Source organism: Homo sapiens, chromosome 11 (genome assembly GCF_000001405.40).
Source record: "Homo sapiens chromosome 11, GRCh38.p14 Primary Assembly".
Taxonomy (NCBI): Eukaryota; Metazoa; Chordata; class Mammalia; order Primates; family Hominidae; genus Homo; species Homo sapiens.
This window is the reverse complement of record NC_000011.10, coordinates 92832622-92852662: the sequence shown is the minus strand read 5'-3', so window position 1 is coordinate 92852662 and position 20041 is coordinate 92832622. Positions and strand designations below refer to the sequence as shown.

General features: G+C 43.5%; 1 protein-coding gene across 11 annotated transcripts in view, besides 1 other annotated feature; it reads right to left on the bottom strand.

Annotated features, from left to right (window-relative positions):
• Positions 1-20041, bottom strand: part of FAT3 (FAT atypical cadherin 3) — a 671656-nt gene that overhangs the window by 43811 nt on the left and 607804 nt on the right. For all 11 annotated transcript variants that reach the window (XM_017017179.3, XM_017017178.3, XM_017017180.2 and 8 more), the window contains 5 exons: positions 17579-17793; positions 15960-16097; positions 14857-15000; positions 11904-12101; positions 7931-8729 (listed from right to left, as the gene is read on the bottom strand). In XM_017017179.3, coding sequence (XP_016872668.1) covers positions 7931-8729; positions 11904-12101; positions 14857-15000; positions 15960-16097; positions 17579-17793 — 1494 coding nt within the window. The remainder of the gene's footprint in view (positions 1-7930; positions 8730-11903; positions 12102-14856; positions 15001-15959; positions 16098-17578; positions 17794-20041) is intronic.
• Positions 13379-13879: an enhancer, noted in NCBI's record as "H3K27ac-H3K4me1 hESC enhancer chr11:92571950-92572450 (GRCh37/hg19 assembly coordinates)". NCBI's record gives its function as "activates a minimal SCP1, AML or CMV promoter by ChIP-STARR-seq in naive and primed H9 embryonic stem cells {active_cell/tissue: H9 hESC(naive and primed)}" and the evidence as "EXISTENCE:reporter gene assay evidence [ECO:0000049][PMID:30033119]".

The window sequence follows — 20041 nt, the reverse complement described above, 5'->3', positions numbered from 1 at the left end:
ATCATGAGTATTTACATTCATTCCAGCAGCAATGACTTTTCTAGGTTCCTTTTCTTTCTTTCTGTTTTTAATAGGTTCTTTAGGATTAAGGGGATAGTTTTTGGCAAGGATAGTTTTTGTACCTCTTGATGTTTTAAAAATCCTCTGGGGACTCCTCCCTGAGTTCCAGCCTGGAAATGCTCAGCCATAAACATTTGGGCTCTGGCTGCTGTTGTCTGTTTGCTTTGCTCATGGGCCCACTCTCTTGTGGCTCAAGGAAGTATGAAGGCAGATTAGAATCTGCAGGCCAGTGTAAATGTAACATCCTCCTTAGCAGGGGACAGATGTGATCATGTGTGCAAACTGCAGTGTATGCCTAGAAAAACTTTTAGTTTTTGAAAAACAGATTCCTCAAAAGGAAATAACACCCATATGCCACATTGCAGTTCTTTCCTCTCTATGAACTATTGTAAAAAATTAAGTCCTTTATGAAATATATATTGTTAGAGAGACTTAACCTTTGTATGCCAACCCTGAACAATGTTATGTGTCCCCTTGGTCTCAGATATACCCATGTCTGGGTCCAGGAAACACTTTTCTGGGGATAGCAACCCTCTTTCCAGCCAAAGCCCTACAATCTTTATCTAAATAGAAGCTAGTAAGCTTTAAATGGATGCTGAAGGGTTAACTCGCTTTTAGAAATCACATGTTTCTGTCATCTCCTTTTCAGGAAGTGTATACACCTGTTATTGTTAAGAGCCTTAAAGACCCCCTCTCTGGTGGCAAACACTGCTCCATTGGCTTCAGAGTACCAGTTAAGAGAAGGCAGTATCAACTCCTGCTGGCTTCTGGGAGAAAGTTTATCTTATTAGCTATCATGAAGTAATGCAGATTTAATTAACTTGTGCTGTGTTTGGTGACAGCTTGGGGGATGTGGGCTCATAGGCTGACATGCTCTGCATCTTCGACATCCATCAATTTGGTACCACAGTAAGCATGAAGGGGGAAGGGTCCCACTTCATCAAACCAACTGACGCCATTTATGGTATGTCAGGGCAGGATCAGATGTGTTTAGCTCCTGTCACAAAAATGGCAGAGTAAGCTCTGTTCCCCATTCCCAGTTTCTCTTGGGAAGGTGGGGTAGTAAGATAAGTAAACAATACTGCATTGACATAGACGCAGACCTGGATTTTGGCCCTGGCTAATTTTTTTAATTTAGTCACTGTGTGGCCTTGAACTACTCACTTGTCTTTTCTAGGTCTCGATTTCCTTTTCTGAAAAATTAAGATAATGATTCTTTATAGTGCTGTGAGAATGAAATGGGCTAGTGTATGTGAAAGCAACTTGTAAAGAAAAACATTTATTATAAAAACAAATTACTACAGGGTCTCAAAACCAGAAACACTAATTTGACCCAGCAACATGGCAGAGACCTGAACTCAGGTGTAACTTTTCCCTTGTTGTCCTTTTTTGATCAGATTCATGATTTGTAAGTCCGCAGTAGGTGATACGAAATATGAAATTCTGTGTGCACTGTAGGCACAGAATAAAGCCTGGGGCTTGTTACTCATCCGCGTCACAGGAACATGCACCTGTGTTGACCCCATCACCACCTTCTCCATCTCAGGTGCAGGTGTTTTTTCATGCACCTTGTCCACCAGGAGAAACACGCACACCATGTGACCATTCCCTGAAAGGTTTTCCACCTCCTGATTTTTTGCTCAGGTGGAAATTTAGGTCACTTTCTGTAGAGGTGACAACAGGCAATTCACTTCAGCAGAAGCATCAAAGCTTTGGAACATGCAGGGAGGAGAAGGGTGATCCTCTGGAAGTTTTATAAGGTTTCGCTACCATATTTATGACTCTCCTCTCCTATCTCCCCAGCATTCCCGCAGCCCCCTGGATTAAGTCTCTGCTTTTAGCCAATATTTCAGTATCTAGCTGTGATTATTATGCTGCCACTTTAAGCTGATTCAACCTCTTGATTTATGTTGCTGCCTCATACATTGAATAATCCAATAACTAATGGTAAACATCCCATGCCCTGAATTCACGTGCTTTACCCACATGCCATGTCCTGGCAAATGCCACATAAGTCAATAAGCTCCCTTCTTAATTCATGGCCTGTGAGAAGTTTTAAAAAACGGAAGTCTCAACTTTGAAGTCATTTCTTATGGTTCTCTCGGAAGCAGAGAATCCTCCAGATGGTGTTTGCTTGACTCAGCCATATTTTCTGTATGATTTCACTAAAGGCCAAGTGCAATTTCATTCAAGACCTCCTCTCTGGGGCAGCTGTGTATGGGTGGACTATAGAAAGGAATACACATACACTGAGAAGCTGGTATCACCACCAGGATGGGGACCTCCACACCTCTCCTGGCAATGTGGGACTCATGCGTACTGGAGATGAGGGATCTGCCGAGGTGTATTTCTTATGAATGAAAAATAGAAACTTCCCAGTTTGTAGGGAGTTAACCTGTTAAGATTAATAGACAACACTGAGGGTTACTCAAAGCCACTGGGATTGGCTCTCTCCTTAGAAAATTAGCATTAGCAAACCCCGGCCAAAGTGCAAACCCAATTTCAGATTCTTCTCTGCTATATAAAAACACATCACGAACATGTTTTAAGTGTCTGACTACCTCACAGAAGCTGTCATCATTTTATTTTACAGTGCTTATTAGAAGTGCAGTGGCCACCTGTCAGCAGGCCTGCTTTACCTATCCTACCTTATCCCTCCGAAGGACTGTCCTGACTTCTTACCACCCACCCCACTGAGCTCTCTGTCATTTGCCCAATGCATGATGCTGTTTCATGCTCCATGGGAATGGGGATCACATCAGCCTCTTTCACCACTGTATCTCCAGCACCCCACCCAGGGCCTGGTGCAAAACAGTATTCAATTAACTGCTGAGAGAATAAGTAAACAAAAGGATGCTTAAAATGCATCCTCTACCTGGTAAAGACCTATTGTGACATGCTTCATTGCTTCCAATGTCTTTCTTGTACTCCTCCAAGTAGAGCTGATAACTCCCTCCTTTATGCTTCCTCCGTGCCCCAATAACACCATCTATAACTTTTTACAGCACATATTTGTTTACAGTCAAGGAGCAAAGGAACTTCTTGTGTTTGGCTAGGAAGAGGATTCAAAGGGTCATAACAATTATCCTTAGTTATCCAGAGGGCAGCTTGTAGAAGCAGGGTTAGCCAGGTTGGGTCTGCGTGGCTCTGAGGGATACAGCTAGATGATGTGACAAGGAGAGAGGTCCTGGTGTGCTATAAGGCAGAAGATCATCTCAGTGCTGCCTTGTGAGCTCCCAGTACTGGTGCTCAAACTTTGGCTGAATTACTATGCCAGGAATATAGAAAATAGGATGTCTGCTGTGGGTGGGAGTTTGGATTAGGAAACTTCTGAGTTTCTTTCAAATCTGTGCAGAAGTGGTAAGCTGCTGTGGTTAAAAAATGCTTTGAATAAGAGAGTCAAGGATGAATCCTGGCTCTGTCATTGACTAGCTCTGTAGCTCTGTGATTCTGAGTGAGTCAATTGACCTTTCCAAGTTTTGGTTTCCTTAATTTTTGAAAAAAGTTAATGAGACCTACTCTTTAGGATTATAGTAAGAGTTAAATGCAATTACATGTATGTGAAAAACAGCATGCGAACTGGTCATGGCTTGATAAACATTATCTGTTCTCTCTGTCCGTACCTCGATCCGTGCACTGAATTGCACACCAGTTCTTAACTCCATGCCTTGGCTCTCATGCCCTTTGGTTTGGAATCCCCTATCCTGGTCACCTAGATAATTCCAGGCATCCTTTCAGACCTTGCTCAGGCAGCACCACCTCCAGTGATTCCTCTTTATACACTGAGCAAACCCTATGACAGTGCCATCCCCCACTGGTTGAGGGCATGGCTGGTGTCTGACTCATTTCTGTACATCGCAGGGCTTCGCCCATGGCAAACACTCCATCCATTTCATTTGGAGCACTAGGTTCCATTCTATATTACATTTCTTAATAAAGACTTGACAAATCAGGCATCCACTTCTTCCACCACACCCATAAACACACTGGTTGTAAACTCTGATGGTCTCACTGGCAGTCCATCCAACTGGACAAGTGTGTCCTTTTTGATATATTTATGTATTAGATTTTTGAATGCAATTTTTCAAAAATGGACAATCAACAAGGCCCCATAGGCTGCCGTGACACCCCTTTCTCTTGCACATCTCCTATACGGGCTCGAGGACATCTATCATCCTCAATTAATTTAAGTTGGTGTCAGTCTTTCTTACTGAAGTGATAATGTTCATTGCACCTCTGAAGTTCACCAGGAACCACCTCACAACATCAGACCTTTGTATCTCTTGAAGTTTGTTCAGACACGATGCTTGTTTGTAGCTGGAGTCTAATAAGCTTATTTGGCACCAAAATTCAAGTCTGCTTTCATTTTGTTAAAACAACTCAGCATTTTGGTTCAAGATGCTAATGATGATAATTGGACCAAAAACTCTCTGTATGAGAAAAAGATGAGCTGGAAGTTGGGAGGAGGATAGAATATTGAGGCCAAATTTGTCTATACATTACTACACAGCCCAGAGTGGACAGTTACCTCTATTTATCATGCTAATTATTCCACCAAGTGGTGGGAAACTCCATCTAATGAATCTGCCGACCTCCTAGAGTAAACAGAAGAGCAGCCAATACTAATTGCATGTGAGTGTGTGCACCTGTGGGTGCACGTCTGTGTGTGTGTGTGTGTGTGTGTTTGGGGGGAGGGGCATTTATTGAATTCAATTATTTTTCCTTTCCAATAAACAAGAAAATGCCTAAAAATGCCTAACGCTTACCTTAACAATTCATGGTTGTATTTTTATTTGAAAGATAATTCTAGAAGTGAGAAAGCTATTGCTATTAAAACAAAGAGCCTGCTCCTGCCCCTGGAGGAAACGCTTTCCTCTTTATCTTGCTGTGTGATTTCTCAAAGTTTGGTTTCCTGACCAGTAACATTAGAGTCATCCAGGCTACATGTGTAGAATCCTAGGCTCCACCCCAACTGTCCATATCTAAGTGTGGGGCTCAGCAATGGGCATTTAGTAAGCCCCATGCACACAGGAGTCTGAGAGAACTTCTGCCTTACTGGGATTGTATTGTGAGGCTGGCGATCATTCTGCTAGGAAAATCACATTACGGTCATGAATTGCTTAATAATGGGGATATATTCTGTGAAATGCATCGTTGGGCTATTTCGTCATTGTGCAAACATCATAGAGTGCGCTTACACAAACCTAGATAGCACAGCCTACTATGCACCCAGGCTATATGGTACAGCCTATGGCTCCTAGGCTACAGGCTTGTACAGCATGCTACTGTACTGAACACTGTAAGCAATTGTAACACAATGGTAAGTATTTTTATATCTAAACAAATCTAAACATAGAAAAGGCATAATAAAAATATGGTATTATAATCGTATGGGACTACCACTGTATACATGGTCCCTTGTTGATGAAACGTTGTTATGCCATGCATGACTATATTTGAGGATTCTTATACAGTACATAGCACTGAGGTTATGATTCACATTTAAAAAGGAAGAGTCCCTGTTCTTAAGATGCAGATAATAAAGTAGGGGCCCAAGAGGGCCCTTTCTTGAATCAGTATGCTACTCTCATCAGCTGTATGGCCCTGGGCAAGGCACAAAGCTACCACATCTATAAAACAAAGATTATCATGTATCACCTGCTGAAGATAGGGCTGGGCTAGATGACCTTTGGAGCTCCTTTACCACTAAAATCTAGAATTTCATTTTATAGCTTAATTATAAGAGTGACTTGAAGGTGAGAAAAGGCTGAGAGCTTGGCCTGACTCTGCACAAAGCTCTTCTTGAGCAAATGCTGGCTTTTCAAACCCAGAAGGCCTCCTCTTGGGATGGCTGGGGCCTGACTCACAAAACCTTCTGGCATTCTAAATTTACTGGGAGTAGAAAGGTTTATGGAGACTAGAGAACAGGGCCAAAACATCACTTTGAAACATATTGCATTTAAGACATTAGTGTCTTATGTAAAATCAAGAGCAACCCCTCTATCTCCATCAAAACCACTCCTCTAAATCCTTCTTTTAAAGAATTATTCAGTCTGCTCCCTGCTCCCACCCCAGTCTCTTCTTGATGAAGTCATCCCTGAAGACCTAGCACATTGGTGGTCTCTGTGTACAGATACTGCAGACAGCTTTCCTTTGACCATAGAAGGGATTCTGTCCCTTCCATGCCCTAGCATTTACTGTAGCACTGTTACAGCAAGTAGGTGCTTGCAAGCTGACTTTACAATTGTCAGCTCCTAAGGGCAGTAACTGTATCTTTTTTGCTTTGAATCTTTAGTGCCTAGGACATTGCTGCCTTCACAGATTTTTTTCAGAAATAAATGAGTTCTCAGAGTACAAGGATTAATTAGCTGGTATAGTTTCGTCTTCAGGGTCTACCCTGTCCTGTCCTGAACCCGTTTTGAACCCTGGTGTGAATCACCGCATACAGACCCTAGCAGAGCTTTGGTGTATCAGTTTGTCAACAAAGGAAATCTAGATAAGGCCCAGACAGCTGGCATTCATAAATTCTGCATGTTGGTGACATCTGCCAGAAATGCATTTCACCTAGCATGCATGCTTTGAGTTACTTTGCAGCTAATTTACATATTAAACAAGTCTGGACATCCCTGCTTCTACCTGATGCAATCACAAACAGAATTCACTGGATACCACAGAGAGCAGCTGGCACACTGATGGGCTGCTTGGAGCCTGTCAAAGTGTCTCTCAGAGGGAGTTATGACCCCTAGGGCCTCCCTGTGATGAGCTCATTCTCCAAACTGCAACCAAGAACTTTCTGCAAGGGAAGAGGCCGGGGCCCTGCCTGTCCCCAATTACCTAAAGGATGTTTTACAAATGGCCTCCCTCTGGCCATGGTCCCTTTGGACCAAATTCACACTGGCTAGAAAAACTCTGGCTGCAATTTTCTTAGAAGGGGGCAGTGAATTTATGGCTCCACATGTCAGACGGAGGAAAAGAGAGAGAGGGCAATGCTTCTCATCGATCACTACGGGCATGTGACTCTGTGCAGCTATGGCTTTGACTAGTAAAGGTCAAAGTTCAGTGACTCCAGTTACATCAACAAACATGAACCATTCCTTCCCTGCCACTCTGAGGGCTGAATCCATCCCTTGACTGTGCTCCTGGACATCTGGCCTCTGTTTCTCACTGAAGCAAATCGAACTGCCCTTACCCTTGGCAACAGCTTCCTAACTTGTTTCCCTGCCTCTGGCCTGGCCTCCTCTAATCCATTCCCCTCTGCAATCAGCACACCCTCTGTGAAAGACAGATCTGATCCTGCCATTTCTTCGCTTCTCATCAGCCAATGGCTCTCACTGCCTTGGGATAATTTCTAAACTCTTCATCTTGGCTAATGGCCCTTGTGTGATGACTGGGCCTGCTCTCAAGCCTTATTTCACATCCCAGCCCTGCTTATTGCAGCCAGAGGAAAGCTCTTTCCATCCCCAGTGTAGGTTCCTCTTATGCCCCTAAGCCTTCCTCATGCAAGCTGCCCCTTGCCTAGAAGGCTCTCCCTCCCCTACCCTGATTCCTACTTGACCCTTATCTCTACCTAGAGGATACTCCCTTTGGGGAAATCCCTATCGGCTGGGTCCTCCACAGGACTTTGTATGTTTCTTGACAATATGTATAAAATAGGCTCGCCTGTTTGTCTGTCTGTGCTGCTCACTTAGGCACAGCTACATGGGACTGTACCTCCTGCAGCCCCAGCATCTATCATGGCTTTTGGGCACACAGTAATTGATCATTTAATATTTAGTTGAACGAATGATTGAATGCAGGCATGCTGGAATGGTAACTCATTCTACTCCTACAATCTCAGGAGTTGAGAGGGAACACTCAAAACTGCACTCACCATTGCAGGTGCAACGCACGTTCCTGTAGAAACGCGGACACACAAAGCTGATGCGAGCCGTGCTGTAGGTCATGAGCGCGTGGGAATCGAGTGACAAGCCTTGCTCACAATGCTGTTCCTGACAGTCCAGCCCTGAGCAGTTCTTCTCCAAGATGGCTGAGATGCGCATGATATTCTCCAGGTGTCTTCTAGCATTGGACAGCTTCTGGATCAGGTAGGCTGGCTTGTAGAACTCGCTGCTGTGCATCTCCACCGCAAACAGCATGTCCAGTTGGTTGGTGCCTGCCACGGGCTGGATGCTGATGATGCGCAGGCTGTCCTGCTTCTGGGTGAGGACTGCATTCCGCAGGGTGCGCCGGAACCCATGCATGTGCAGCCCCACGAAGTCCTCAGGGGACACATTTTCAAAGCGGATGGTGACAGTGTTCTGCAGCATCTCATGCACCAACTGCTCCACATGCACGACCACATCAATGGGTACCTGGAAGCGACCATCACTCACAGACACATTCAGGACATACTTGCCGCTGTCCAGGCCTCCCAGGGCGATGATTTTCCCATCGTGACTGTTCACTTTAAATAAGCTTTTCTGCTCCGATTTCAGGGCAAATGTGAGCACATCATACATGTCTTGATCTGTGGCATGAATCTTCCCAATGACCCCACCAGGAAAGTCATCCTCCATGGTGACAATGAAAATTTCCAGGGGAATGGCTGTGGGCTTGTGGGTGCTTTCCTCAATGACTCGCACGCGGATGTAAGTGTGAGAAACTTGCTGGGGTTTGCCTGAATCCTTTGCCTAAAACAACCAAGAGGTGAAAAGGCAACAAAGGAAGAAAACTAATCATAGTAAGTTTTTAAAAACCCGCAGATAGAAGACGTCTGTACCTTTACGTTTGCTTCTTCCTTCATTCCTTGCCACTATTCTGAAAAATGCTGAGGATGTGCGTTTAAGTAAGAGGAGTGATTTATCACCTTCTATCCCCATATGTACACTCTGTTATGGACAATAAAATGTATCAACACAATAAAGCCGGCTGGGGTGAAGAGAGAAGGAGGACAGAGGGCTACAAGACTCAACATGCCCACAACAGGCTGAGCTTGTTTTAATTGTATGCAGCAACCACAGGGGAAACCTCATAAAGTGGTCTTTCCACTTGGAGGAGAAATTTCTGTTTTCTGTTGGATTATTTCCTTTTGACTGGACCCAGATAGCACCTTTCTGCATATTTAAGAAATGACATAGTTTAAGTGGGAATTATATCATGGTAAGGTTTCAAATAAAATATAATACACTGAAAAGAAAAGCTAAGTAGCTTGATAAAAACCCTTTTTCTCTTCCTTCCATGTGTAAGAATGAACAGAACATCCACTCTGGCAACAGGTCTTTACTGAACACCCATCGCATGCAAGGTGGAGGTATTCAGTAGTGCAGAGCTTCAGGAGAAGGGCAGATTCCCATGGGCTGGGTTTATGGAGCAGGTATCTGAAGATGTGGAGCTGCAGTGAACCCTGCAGACCAGGTGGGATCTGGGGAGAGATGTGTCCTTGTATGTGGAAGCCAGTGAAAGAGCCGGTGCCTGGGCATCACACAGACCTGAGTTTGAATCTTGTCTCTGTCACCCACTACATATCTGGCTTTGAGTATGTTAGTTAACTTCTCTAAGCCTCAGTTTTTGTATTTTTAATATGAGTAAAATAGCAGCATCAACTTCACAGGGTCCTTCTATTGTGGGGATTAAAAGAGAGTCAGTGCAAAGCACTAAACCCAAGGCTAATCCATAGACACACTTAGTACTTGATGTTTCATGTGATTGTTATTTTTATTTGTTTATTTGTTTTGTTTATTTAGAGGCATGGTCTCGTCCTGCCACCTAGGCTGCAGTGCAGTGGTGGTACAATCACAGCTCACTGCAGCCTCAACCTCCTGAGCTCAAGTGATCCTCCCACCTCAGCCTCCTGAGTAGCTGGGAATATAGGTGTGCACCACCACACCAGGCTACTTTTTTTTTGTTTTTGTTTTTGTAGAGATGAGGCCTCACTATGTTGCCAAGGCTGGTCTTGAACTCTTGAGCACAAGCAATCCTCCTGCCTTGGCCTACCAAAGTACTGGGATTACAGGTGTGAGCCACTGTGTCCATCTGTTGTTATTTTTATTATTGCCATCATCACATGCTTTATTTGATGGATGATGTGAACAAGAGATGCTGGAATGTAAAATTCATGGAGAAGGATATAACTTTAGCAGATGAGACTGAACTTGAAGTCAAACTGTGGAGTGCTTCAAAGGAGAGTGACAAGTTTAGACTTTATAGGCCAGAGGTTGCCCGTTCACATGTCAGAGGCCAGAAAGATGAAAGAAAGGCATGAAGCTGCTGGGTATAAGGTGAGAGAGGAATGGACCTGTGGCCAGAGAAGGACTGGAGAGTGCTGCCTGTCAAAAGGTCCTGAAATTCAAAATCTGAAAGTCTGGGGCAGAATTCAGCCTGCAGGGCCTAAGTTTTCAAACACTAGAAAACCAACAGATAGTTTTACTTTATGGCAGTGATCAGCAATCATTTTCTGTAAAGCACTGGATAATAAATATTTTCAGCTTTGTGGGTTTTACAGCCTTTATCACAACCATGCCAGGCTGTCCTATGCAAGGAAGCAGTCACGGAGCATACCTGAATGAAGGAGGCTGTGTGCCAGTAAAACTTCAATGCTAAAAACAGGCTGAGGGCAGGATTTGGTCTAAGGGCTGTAGTTTGCTGGTCCCTGACTAAGGGAAATGATGTACTCTAAGTGGAATGATTAATATGGGAGGGGTGAAGAGTTGGGTCAGAAGAGAATGAAGCTGAAGCCAGAGGAAGCACCCAGGAGGCTCCTGCCACAGTAGCATGATGAAGGGGCTGTGCAGAATACAGTGAGGCAGTGGCAATGGGAATGTGACTGAAGAAAGGAAGAAAACACAGGACTCAGTGGTAGTTTAATACAAGGGACTGGGGGAGGGAGCCTTTTACAAAGATTCTAAAACCTGAGATGTGAAATCTGCTCCATATCCGGAGAGGATAGGCAAACTGTCCTAGTTTCTGTGAGAAGGCACTGAAAAGCTCTTCTTGCCTTGAGTACTACCCTGTGATATAAAATTATTTACACAATATTGTTGGAGGAGCAGATGGCAATTGAAGAGTTCATTGATGTGCTTGGAGCTGGCAGTCATTAATTTAGAAGGTTTCATGGAGTAAAGTAAGGTGTAATTTATCCAAAGAGACAATGTATATTTAAGCCAATGCTATACCAATACCAATAATTACTATTGCTATTATTGTCACCATTAATAATGAGTCTAGGTTGCCCTCTGTAAGCAACAGTGGATAGAAAAAGTCACTCAGTTTCCCTGATGGGATCCAAATCTTGGTATTTGCAGAAATCATACATGGGAACTTTCGGAGGCCCTCTCATTTCCTGCTCCTTCTATACTCTGCATACCTGCCACGTTTGCCTCTTTGGCCCATTTTACGTCACACAGGCCAATGAACATGAGGAACTGACATGCTGGGGGCCACTGCCAGCTGAGTCCTTGGTCCCCTCCTGCCTCACTGGGGAAGGCCTATCAAGCAGAGGCATGAAATGGCTAAGTCCCCTTATGACAGGGATTGGTAGCTGTCCCAAGTGGGGTAATGTGATGGGCAATAGCATAAAGCAGCAGGAGTTTTTAGAATGCAGATTTAAGCCCAGTGACCATCTGTTGGGCATACTCTACAGGAATGTCCTTCCTGAACAATGATGCTTCCCTTCCTTCCTGTTCAGTTTCACACACAGAGGCAGCTTTTACTGGTGTGAAATTGAATTTGAGATTAAAAGGGGGAACATTCCCGCATGGTAATGAATTATGTTGACTTACTCAGCAAAGAAAAAAATCCACCAAAGGGGACAGAAACAAGCATGAGAAAGAAAGACAGCACGACGGAGACAGAGTGCGATGCCATACCTGGACACACAACACGTATTCCAGAGACTCTGTGTGCTGGAAGACCACAGCCGACCGCAAGATCCCATGAGGGTCCAACACAAACTCCTCCTCTTCATTTCCCGACAAAATAGAGAATGAAAAGGGAGGCCCATTGTGAAAGGAGTCTCTGTCTGTCACCACCAGCTGCAAGATGCTGGTGCCCACTGGCTTATTTTCCTGCATAAAAGAGTATATAGTAAAAATGAAGATAAAAATTACACTTCTCTTCACATTCATTAAAACAAAACAAAACAAATCAAAAATACCATCATTTCAGGCTGAGAGTGCTGAGCTAGAAAACAGGGCTTTCAGCAGAAGGGATTCCCTGTGACATTACCTTGTCTTCTGAAAACATGTTGGTGTCTGTAAGTGTCATGTTCCTTATCTTTGGCTGCTTCCCACAACCACCTATGGGACAATCCTCTACTGGTGTGAACACAAGGACTTGGAGCTGCCTGGGTTTACAGGTTCCGAGCATGGTGCTGGGTGCACCTTGTCCTGGGTTAGCTGGCAATGCCCGAGCTGACCTGAAGAGCTCCACTGGGATGGGGAGGCACTTCCTCACACACACATGTCACAACACAATTATGCTGAGGCCCAACACTAGATACAATGTCACAGCATTAGATTTTTTGGGGGGACATCCTGGCAACTTCCTAGTCAATATACAAAGGCATATTCCTGGTGGAAAATGGGGCTTTATACCTTACCTAATTCTCTAGAACACGGTTTTGCCATGTTCCTTTAGGGAAGCGAATCGGGGTAAAACATTCCTCCATTTGACAATGAACAGAACAGGAATCCTTAATTTTGTCAGAATTCTTGGAAGTCCTGATTCTATTACATAAGCATTATTTTGCAGAACTTCTCTGCTTTTTTCCCCAAATGGGAATGCAAAGCTCCTTCTTGGGTCAAAGGTCATCCTCACGTTGAAAACGGCAAATTAAATCCTCTGTAGCTCAGGTATTGCTGTCCTTTCCCCTACTCTGTTTAGACTTCAGCAATACCACAGCTTGGGCCTGAAATCAGTTGTATCAGCTCAGGCCTCCTGATGCCATCGACCTAAGGATTAAACCAGTTTGGGTTGCAGAGATGGAGACGATGATACACTACAGTTTGGAGGGCAGGCCCAGTCAAGTTTTATGTGTTGAATTAGTCTTATGAAAACCATGTGTGGAAATAAGAACGTCATTCAGGGTTGGGAAAAAGGAGGCATATTTTTTGAAGAAGAAAGAGAAAAGGACTGCATAGACCTCTTATTTTGCTCCTTTTCACAAGTGTCCTTTTGGTCATCAAAAACTAGACAGTGTCTCCCTCTGGAATCAGTCGTGGGACCACCATAGCCCCACATATATTTACTATTTCACACTGACTGATTTGTTTGCTTACTCTCTAAAGGCCGCTTCCTGCATAGAAGAGAGGGAGAGAGACAATGTGGCCCTCAGGGTCAGCATCTGAGAAGAAGGGTATAAGGTAACATAGACATGCCTGCCCTGCGGATAGGGGCCCCACCATCACTCATGGGCTGAGCCTCTCCGTGCTTTCACTGTTGACCTCCTGTTGCGCATTTGAAAACAGTCTGTCAAGCTGATTGATGTGTGTCATAAAACTGAATGTTGAGTAGGAGAAACCCACTTTGTTTTGGGGTTAGCAAACAGAGGCCATGAGGGCAGAGAGCACCCTTGTGAGCAACAGTCATGGAGAAGAGTGAGCTGAGAGAAAGAGAAATGGAGGAAGGTGTGGACTCTGGGCGAAGCTCTGGGGAAGCAGGAGTGTGGTGAGAATGCAGAGCTGCTGGAAAAAGCATCAGAGAGGAGGAGAAAACCAAAACACCACCAGGGAAGGAATCAGATTTCGCTGACAAAGGGGTGGGAACCAGCAGACAGCTGCTTCCTTCAAGGCTGCCTCCCAGTCTGATTGCTGGACAGCTCAGTGGCCCTGGGGTCTGAGGAGGCCAGCTATGGATGGTCAGGCTCAAATTCTTGAATGTTATTCCAAAGGGGACCCTCAAGAGCTGGCCCACTCACATTTCACCTTCCACCCACAAAGCCCTGGGACTCCTTTGGGGTGATTCTGAGGCCAAACTGGATCATGCAAGAACTAATTCTCTAGAATACCTGTGGCCCTCCAAGTCATGCATATCACTCTGTCTTCTCTAAGTCCTCTACACTGACAGTTTTCCTGGGCTAGATTTCCTGATCCTCCTAAAGTTGGGCTTTCAGCTCCTAGAAATACTGAGAAGTAGAGGACGCTCAGTACCTAGCACTGTGCCCGTGGAATAAAAAATAGATGGGAAGAAGAGTCACTCTCTCTTATAGCAGAATACCAGCAGTAAGTTACTCTATCCTGCAGTCTGATTTTAAAGAGCAGGTGGATTTAAAGTGTTAAACAAATTGCTTATGGAAGATTAATTTTAATGAGTACCAGCTCTATCCTGATGCCCAATCTGTCTTTGACTGATGAGACAATGCGTATCAATCTCTGTCATCTGCCAGAATAGCATAAAGTTGCTTAAAGGTAGCCTGCCACTGGGGAAAGAGAATTCTTTTGCAGAAGACAGCCCCAAGTTCAAATCCTGACTCTGCCACTTACCAGCTGCATGATCTTTGGTGAATTACTTAACCTCACAGATCCTTAGCTCTTTCCATTATAAAGTGGGGACCAATCCACCATCCCTCTTCACAGTGTTGTTGTGGGGAGAGACAGAGTGCATAAAGCACCTGACAGTTGAAAAAAATCCACCCCTCAATAGCTCTTACTCACATTTATTAATCATCTGTGGTAGAAGAACTAGGTTCTTTTTCATACCTGCCCTATGAAGGGATGAGATGACATTAAGTAATAGTAGCAATAAACCACAATGAGTAAACCACAGCAGAGGAAGAAAGCTGAATGCAAAGGGACAAGTGCTTGGCAGGCAAGATTTTCTCACCTGAATCACAGCAGTATAGTTGGCAGGTGTAAACACCGGGCTGTTGTCATTCACATCAGAAATATCAATGTTGACAGTTGCAGTTGATGACATTGCAGGAATGCCACTGTCTACGGCCTGGACAAGCAGAGAGTATCCAGACACCTGCCAAGGTACAAAGAGGTGACAGTAAAGAGGTGTAGCGCTTCCTTCCTTCTGTGCACACACAGAGGAACTGGAGCTACAGGCTGTGCTTTGTTAAAGAGCAACCATCTTTAGTTTGATTTTCCAGACCGGGTGATTCTTGGCACCACTGACATTTGGGTCTGGATAATTCTTTGTTGTTGGGGGCTGACCTGTGCATTTTAGGATGTTTAACAGCAACCCTGACTTCTGTCAAGTGGGAGGCAGTATCACCCCCTGCCCAGTTATGACAGCCAAAAATGTCTCCAAACGTTGCCAAACGTCCCTGGGGGACAAAACCACCCTGGTTAGTACCCAGGCTCTGGGCCTTTGCTCAGTGCAATAGTTGTCACTGCTGATCTGTCTTATTTATCAATGTTAATATTTCTGGGGTTATGAGCATGTATCACCCAGTAGAGTCTATCTGCTTTTTAGCATCATTGCCATGTCATCCTTTTCCATATTTAATTTCCCTTCGAAGATGAATATTTTTTGGTCAAGAAAGACAATGTTTAGAAACTTCACTTAACCTTGGACAGAGAAATTTTTTGGACTATTTTTTCTGACCTAGATGCCTTCAGGTGATCTTTTTGTACCTGCTCACCGAGGGCTAAAGTTGCTCATAAAGTCAGGATCACAGGGTCCCAACACCCTGAAAGTATTTTTCTGTCCCTTTGCTCTAGGAAGGGCTAAAATTCAAACCACCTAGAAAGATACATATTTATCTTTTCTTTAAAACCTCCATAACCAGCATCTATTATAGGTAGAAAATTCTATCAAAGGTCTAACCCTAATATTTCATGCTGCATTTTAGCCCATCCTTATTTACTCTCATTACTTAGAATGGAGAACTTTCCTATTTACACCCGTGGAGCTTGTGCCCCTGATTCTAGGAAAGTGGTGGATGTGGATGGGAAGGAAACTGTCCTAAACTAGCTTACCCGTTCCCGGTCCAATTTCTTCTTAACTTTCACAAGTCCCAAGACAGGATCTACAGTAAATTCATTGTCCCGATCTCCATTCACAATGGAAAAATGAATCTGTCCGTTGGGCTGGCTGTCTACATCTTCTGCTATTAGCTTCATGGAAAACAAGCAAAACAAAGAAAAGACATGACATAAGGCAGCAAAGGTTGATTCTTAGGGTCCCAGGTCTGTTTAAATGGGTGCAGCTGTGACAGTTTTCTCGGGAGCTCTGCTCTCTAATGTTAGTGACCACGCCCCCAGCAGAAGAGATGATTAATCAGCTGAAGGAGGGTGGCACCAGGCCCGCAGCTGCCATTTTATTTTTATGTTAATTTTTTACCTGCCCACAGCCTGATGCCTGTTAGGCCTGATTTTCCTCAGGGTTTGAGACAGTATGGTTAGAGCCCAAAGCTAATGGACAGGAACGCTTTGATTTCTTCCCAATCCTGCAAGTAATGGTCTCTGCCATTGAGTGAGGGATTCTCTAGGCCTATGCATTTCCATGTTAAGGAAGCCAAGAAAGTTCCCCTTCCCACACAGCAAATATACCGCCCCTCTGTCTATTGCTCCAGGTTGATGATGTTGAAATTTATATGTATGGAAACAGTCATGTACTTTCCAGGAAGCAGAGTGGGCCTGAGGGGTGCACTTCTGATGTATAAGAAATGTACTGTCCTCCAGCAGAGAGCGGCTCCACCCTCATCCTGCAATGAGATGACTTGGATGGAAGGGACCTGCCAGCCAAGGGATGGGGAAGGATGGTGAGGAGGGGACTCTTTGTTCCAAAATGTAATTTGCGGTCTAACAGAATCTGTGTTCTCAGGATACATGGCTTGTTCTTACTGTTAGACAGAGTTCCCCCTGGAAAAGTCTCCTTTAAGAGTGGCTAGTCAATCTTAGGTTTGCTCCAAATTGTAGCTGCCCAACTCTGTGTGTCTGTGTGTGTAGGGGGAAAGGGGGACAGGGATTTTATTTGATCCTCAGCAATCTAATAATTTTAAATTGTAAATTGACAAATCATAGTTGCATATATTTATGGGGTACAAAGTGATGTTATGATTTATGAATACAATGTGGAATAATTAAATCAAGCTAATTAACACATGAACCATCTCAAAAACCTAGCATTTTTTGTGGTAAGAACATTTGAAACTTACTCTTAGCCGTTTTGAAATGTACAATATACCACTATTAACTATATTCATCATGCTGTGCAACAGATCTCAAAAAAAAGAAAAAAAGAATATATTCCTCCTAGCCACCTAATAACCTGTCATATAAGTTCACATCTACATAGGGGGCCATCATTAAAAATTCATCCCATGGTCTGTTTTATTTTCTCAAAAAAGATATGCTCCTGGGAAATAAGTGATTATCAATCACTAACACCTTGATATAAATTAATCTATCAGACTCTTCCTAATATACAAATTACAGAAGGAGCCATAGAAAGATGGCTCCTATTCTTGGGGACAAATGGACACTGAAAGGGGGAAGTGTGAAGAAAACCCAAGACGGACTTTGCTTTCTTCTTCACTTTATTGTGGATGACTAGTCCCAAACATCTAGAACCATCCCCAACCCCAGGTACCTACCAAAATGACAGAGTCTCCCACCAAGGCGTCTTCACTGATAACCGCACTGTAGACGTCTTGGCTGAACTTGGGAGGGTTGTCATTAACATCTGTGAGGTTGATGTTGACAGTGGCCACAGCGCTGAGAGCTGGGGTGCCCCCATCTTTGGCTTCCACTACCAGGTAAAACCTTTTGCATAATTCATAGTCCAGGACTTCAGAGACAGAAATACCCCCTTTGAAGAAAAATGGGGAGCTTTATATTTCATTAGGAAAAAACACTGGTCAGCAATTCTATAATCATGGTAATATTTCTAACATCCTCTCCAGCCAAGAATTTAAACATTCAGGAATTTGTTTATTTAATGCCTTACTGAAAGTATTACAGACGTCTGATTAATGCTGTCAGTGAGAGCATAGCTATCCATCAAACATAACACTGAAGAAATGAAAAGTCTTTACATGTTTCTGTAACAGTTTATGAACATCTCTCAGGCAGCTTGAAAATCTCTGGCATCTTCACTCTCACACAACTAACGAGTAGGAACAGAAACAAGCATCCCTGATAGGTGTCTTCTGATTCCTCAGGTGGACAGAGGAAGACCAAGAATGAGCTGAGATTTGGGGATGTGATGGTATGACCTCATTCTTGTCAGCAAGTAAATACTTGCAGACTTCACTGAATTGAATTAACCACAAAGGTGCCTTGCCAAGTTAAAATGCACTTATCTAAAACAATTGTGGCACAAAGAGGGCAAAGATCTCAGAAATCTCAAGGTATAGTGACAGAATAGAAAAGGAACTACCTGGAAATCAAACAGCCCAGCAGCCACATATTGAGTTTAGTGCCCACAACTACAGAAGAGAGATGATAATGTCCATGTCACAGAATTGCTTAAATAAGTAGAACATGTGAAAGCAGCTAGCTGGGTGTTGGTGCTATATCCTTCCCATCCTAGCCCTTTCTTGGGAGGTAACCCAATCCTGCATTCTGCAGTCATTGTATTGCCTGCAGAACACTTCTCAAGGGCATTTATTTTCCTCCCACCTAGTAAACAATCATGAGGACTGGTGAGAAGGTCATGACCATTCACATTTCCAGACAGGCAACTTCTCTAGTTGCTAAGACTGCCAATAGGCTCCTTCTACCTAAGGCAAAACACAGAAATCATACCTGTAACAAGAGCCTCTTTCTCCCCATAATTAAGTTTTCTGGAACTTACCACCCCTAGTGCTTATTTTGCATCCCAGTCTTGCTAACTAGTGCTAAATTTAAATAGTACTTAGCCATTTCCCCATGGTGTTTATATACAATGGTCATAACTAGACAGGCTAGGGACAACACATATTTAAATGAGGGAAACCCCCATACATTTTATTTGAGATAATGACCTTAATAAACAGTTACTGCCAGGAGAGACTGTGATGCAATTCCTCCATCAATATTTTCACCTTCCAATACTTACCACGGGCCAGGACTGTATTTCTTACATTTTTGGTATCCCTACAGTATAGCAGTGTTATATTATATTATATTAGAATACGCATTCTAGAGTCAGAAAGATCTGAGTTCGAATGTTGGATAAACCACTTATTAACAGTGGACACTGCGGTAATTATTTAACTTCTCTGAAATTCTGTTTTGTACTTAGTAAGAGCCTGGTATATTTGCCATGTTAAATAAACATTGCTAATTATAATGATTTCTTGTTTATATTTACTGGACTACCCAAAGGAAAATGGACCTCCTTTGCCACCTTGTTCAACAGGTGCATACTCCTTGAGTGATGAGGGAACTATGTGCAAAGGCTGGAAGGTGAGAGACTCACCTTTGTTCTCTGCAAAATGGGAACTTCCTTGACTATTCATAGGGGAATTGGGAAATAAGTGAGAATATTCACCAAAGGGCTTTGGGATAGAAATCCATACAGTCTATGAAAATACAAGGATGAGTATGTTTAGTCTTCAAAGAACATCCAAGCTTGTTTTCTAGAATTACGACCTTTATTTGCCTGAAGCACGTCTAATACTTATTAACTCGCTGGTGAAGAGAAAGCCCCAGGGTTCTCTCTTATTCTGTTGCTTTATTTCGAAGCACCTTTTTATTTCCTAGGTGATGCTACATGTTCCCCAGAGTTGGAAAAGGATGTGGTGAGAAATGAGTGTTCTGACCATGAATTGTGAACTGGGTTCAAACAGAGCACCAGTTCCAGCTCACCGATGGAGTCTACTTGGGGTGCTGGGTTGAGAAGGCTGCATATCACCATGCAGATCACTTATCAGTGTCTGCCTGTGCATGTGATGAAGGAGTGGTAGTCCAAGTGTGGACAGTTGCACACGGAGGCTCATCCCCATGAACATTTTCCAACATGTGCACATATGACTTAAGTTTAAAAAACCCAACAACATCAAACAGAAAAGAGAGAAAATCAAACAAACTCTTGTTCTTGGAATACAAATACTATTTCCTCTCTCCATTGAGAA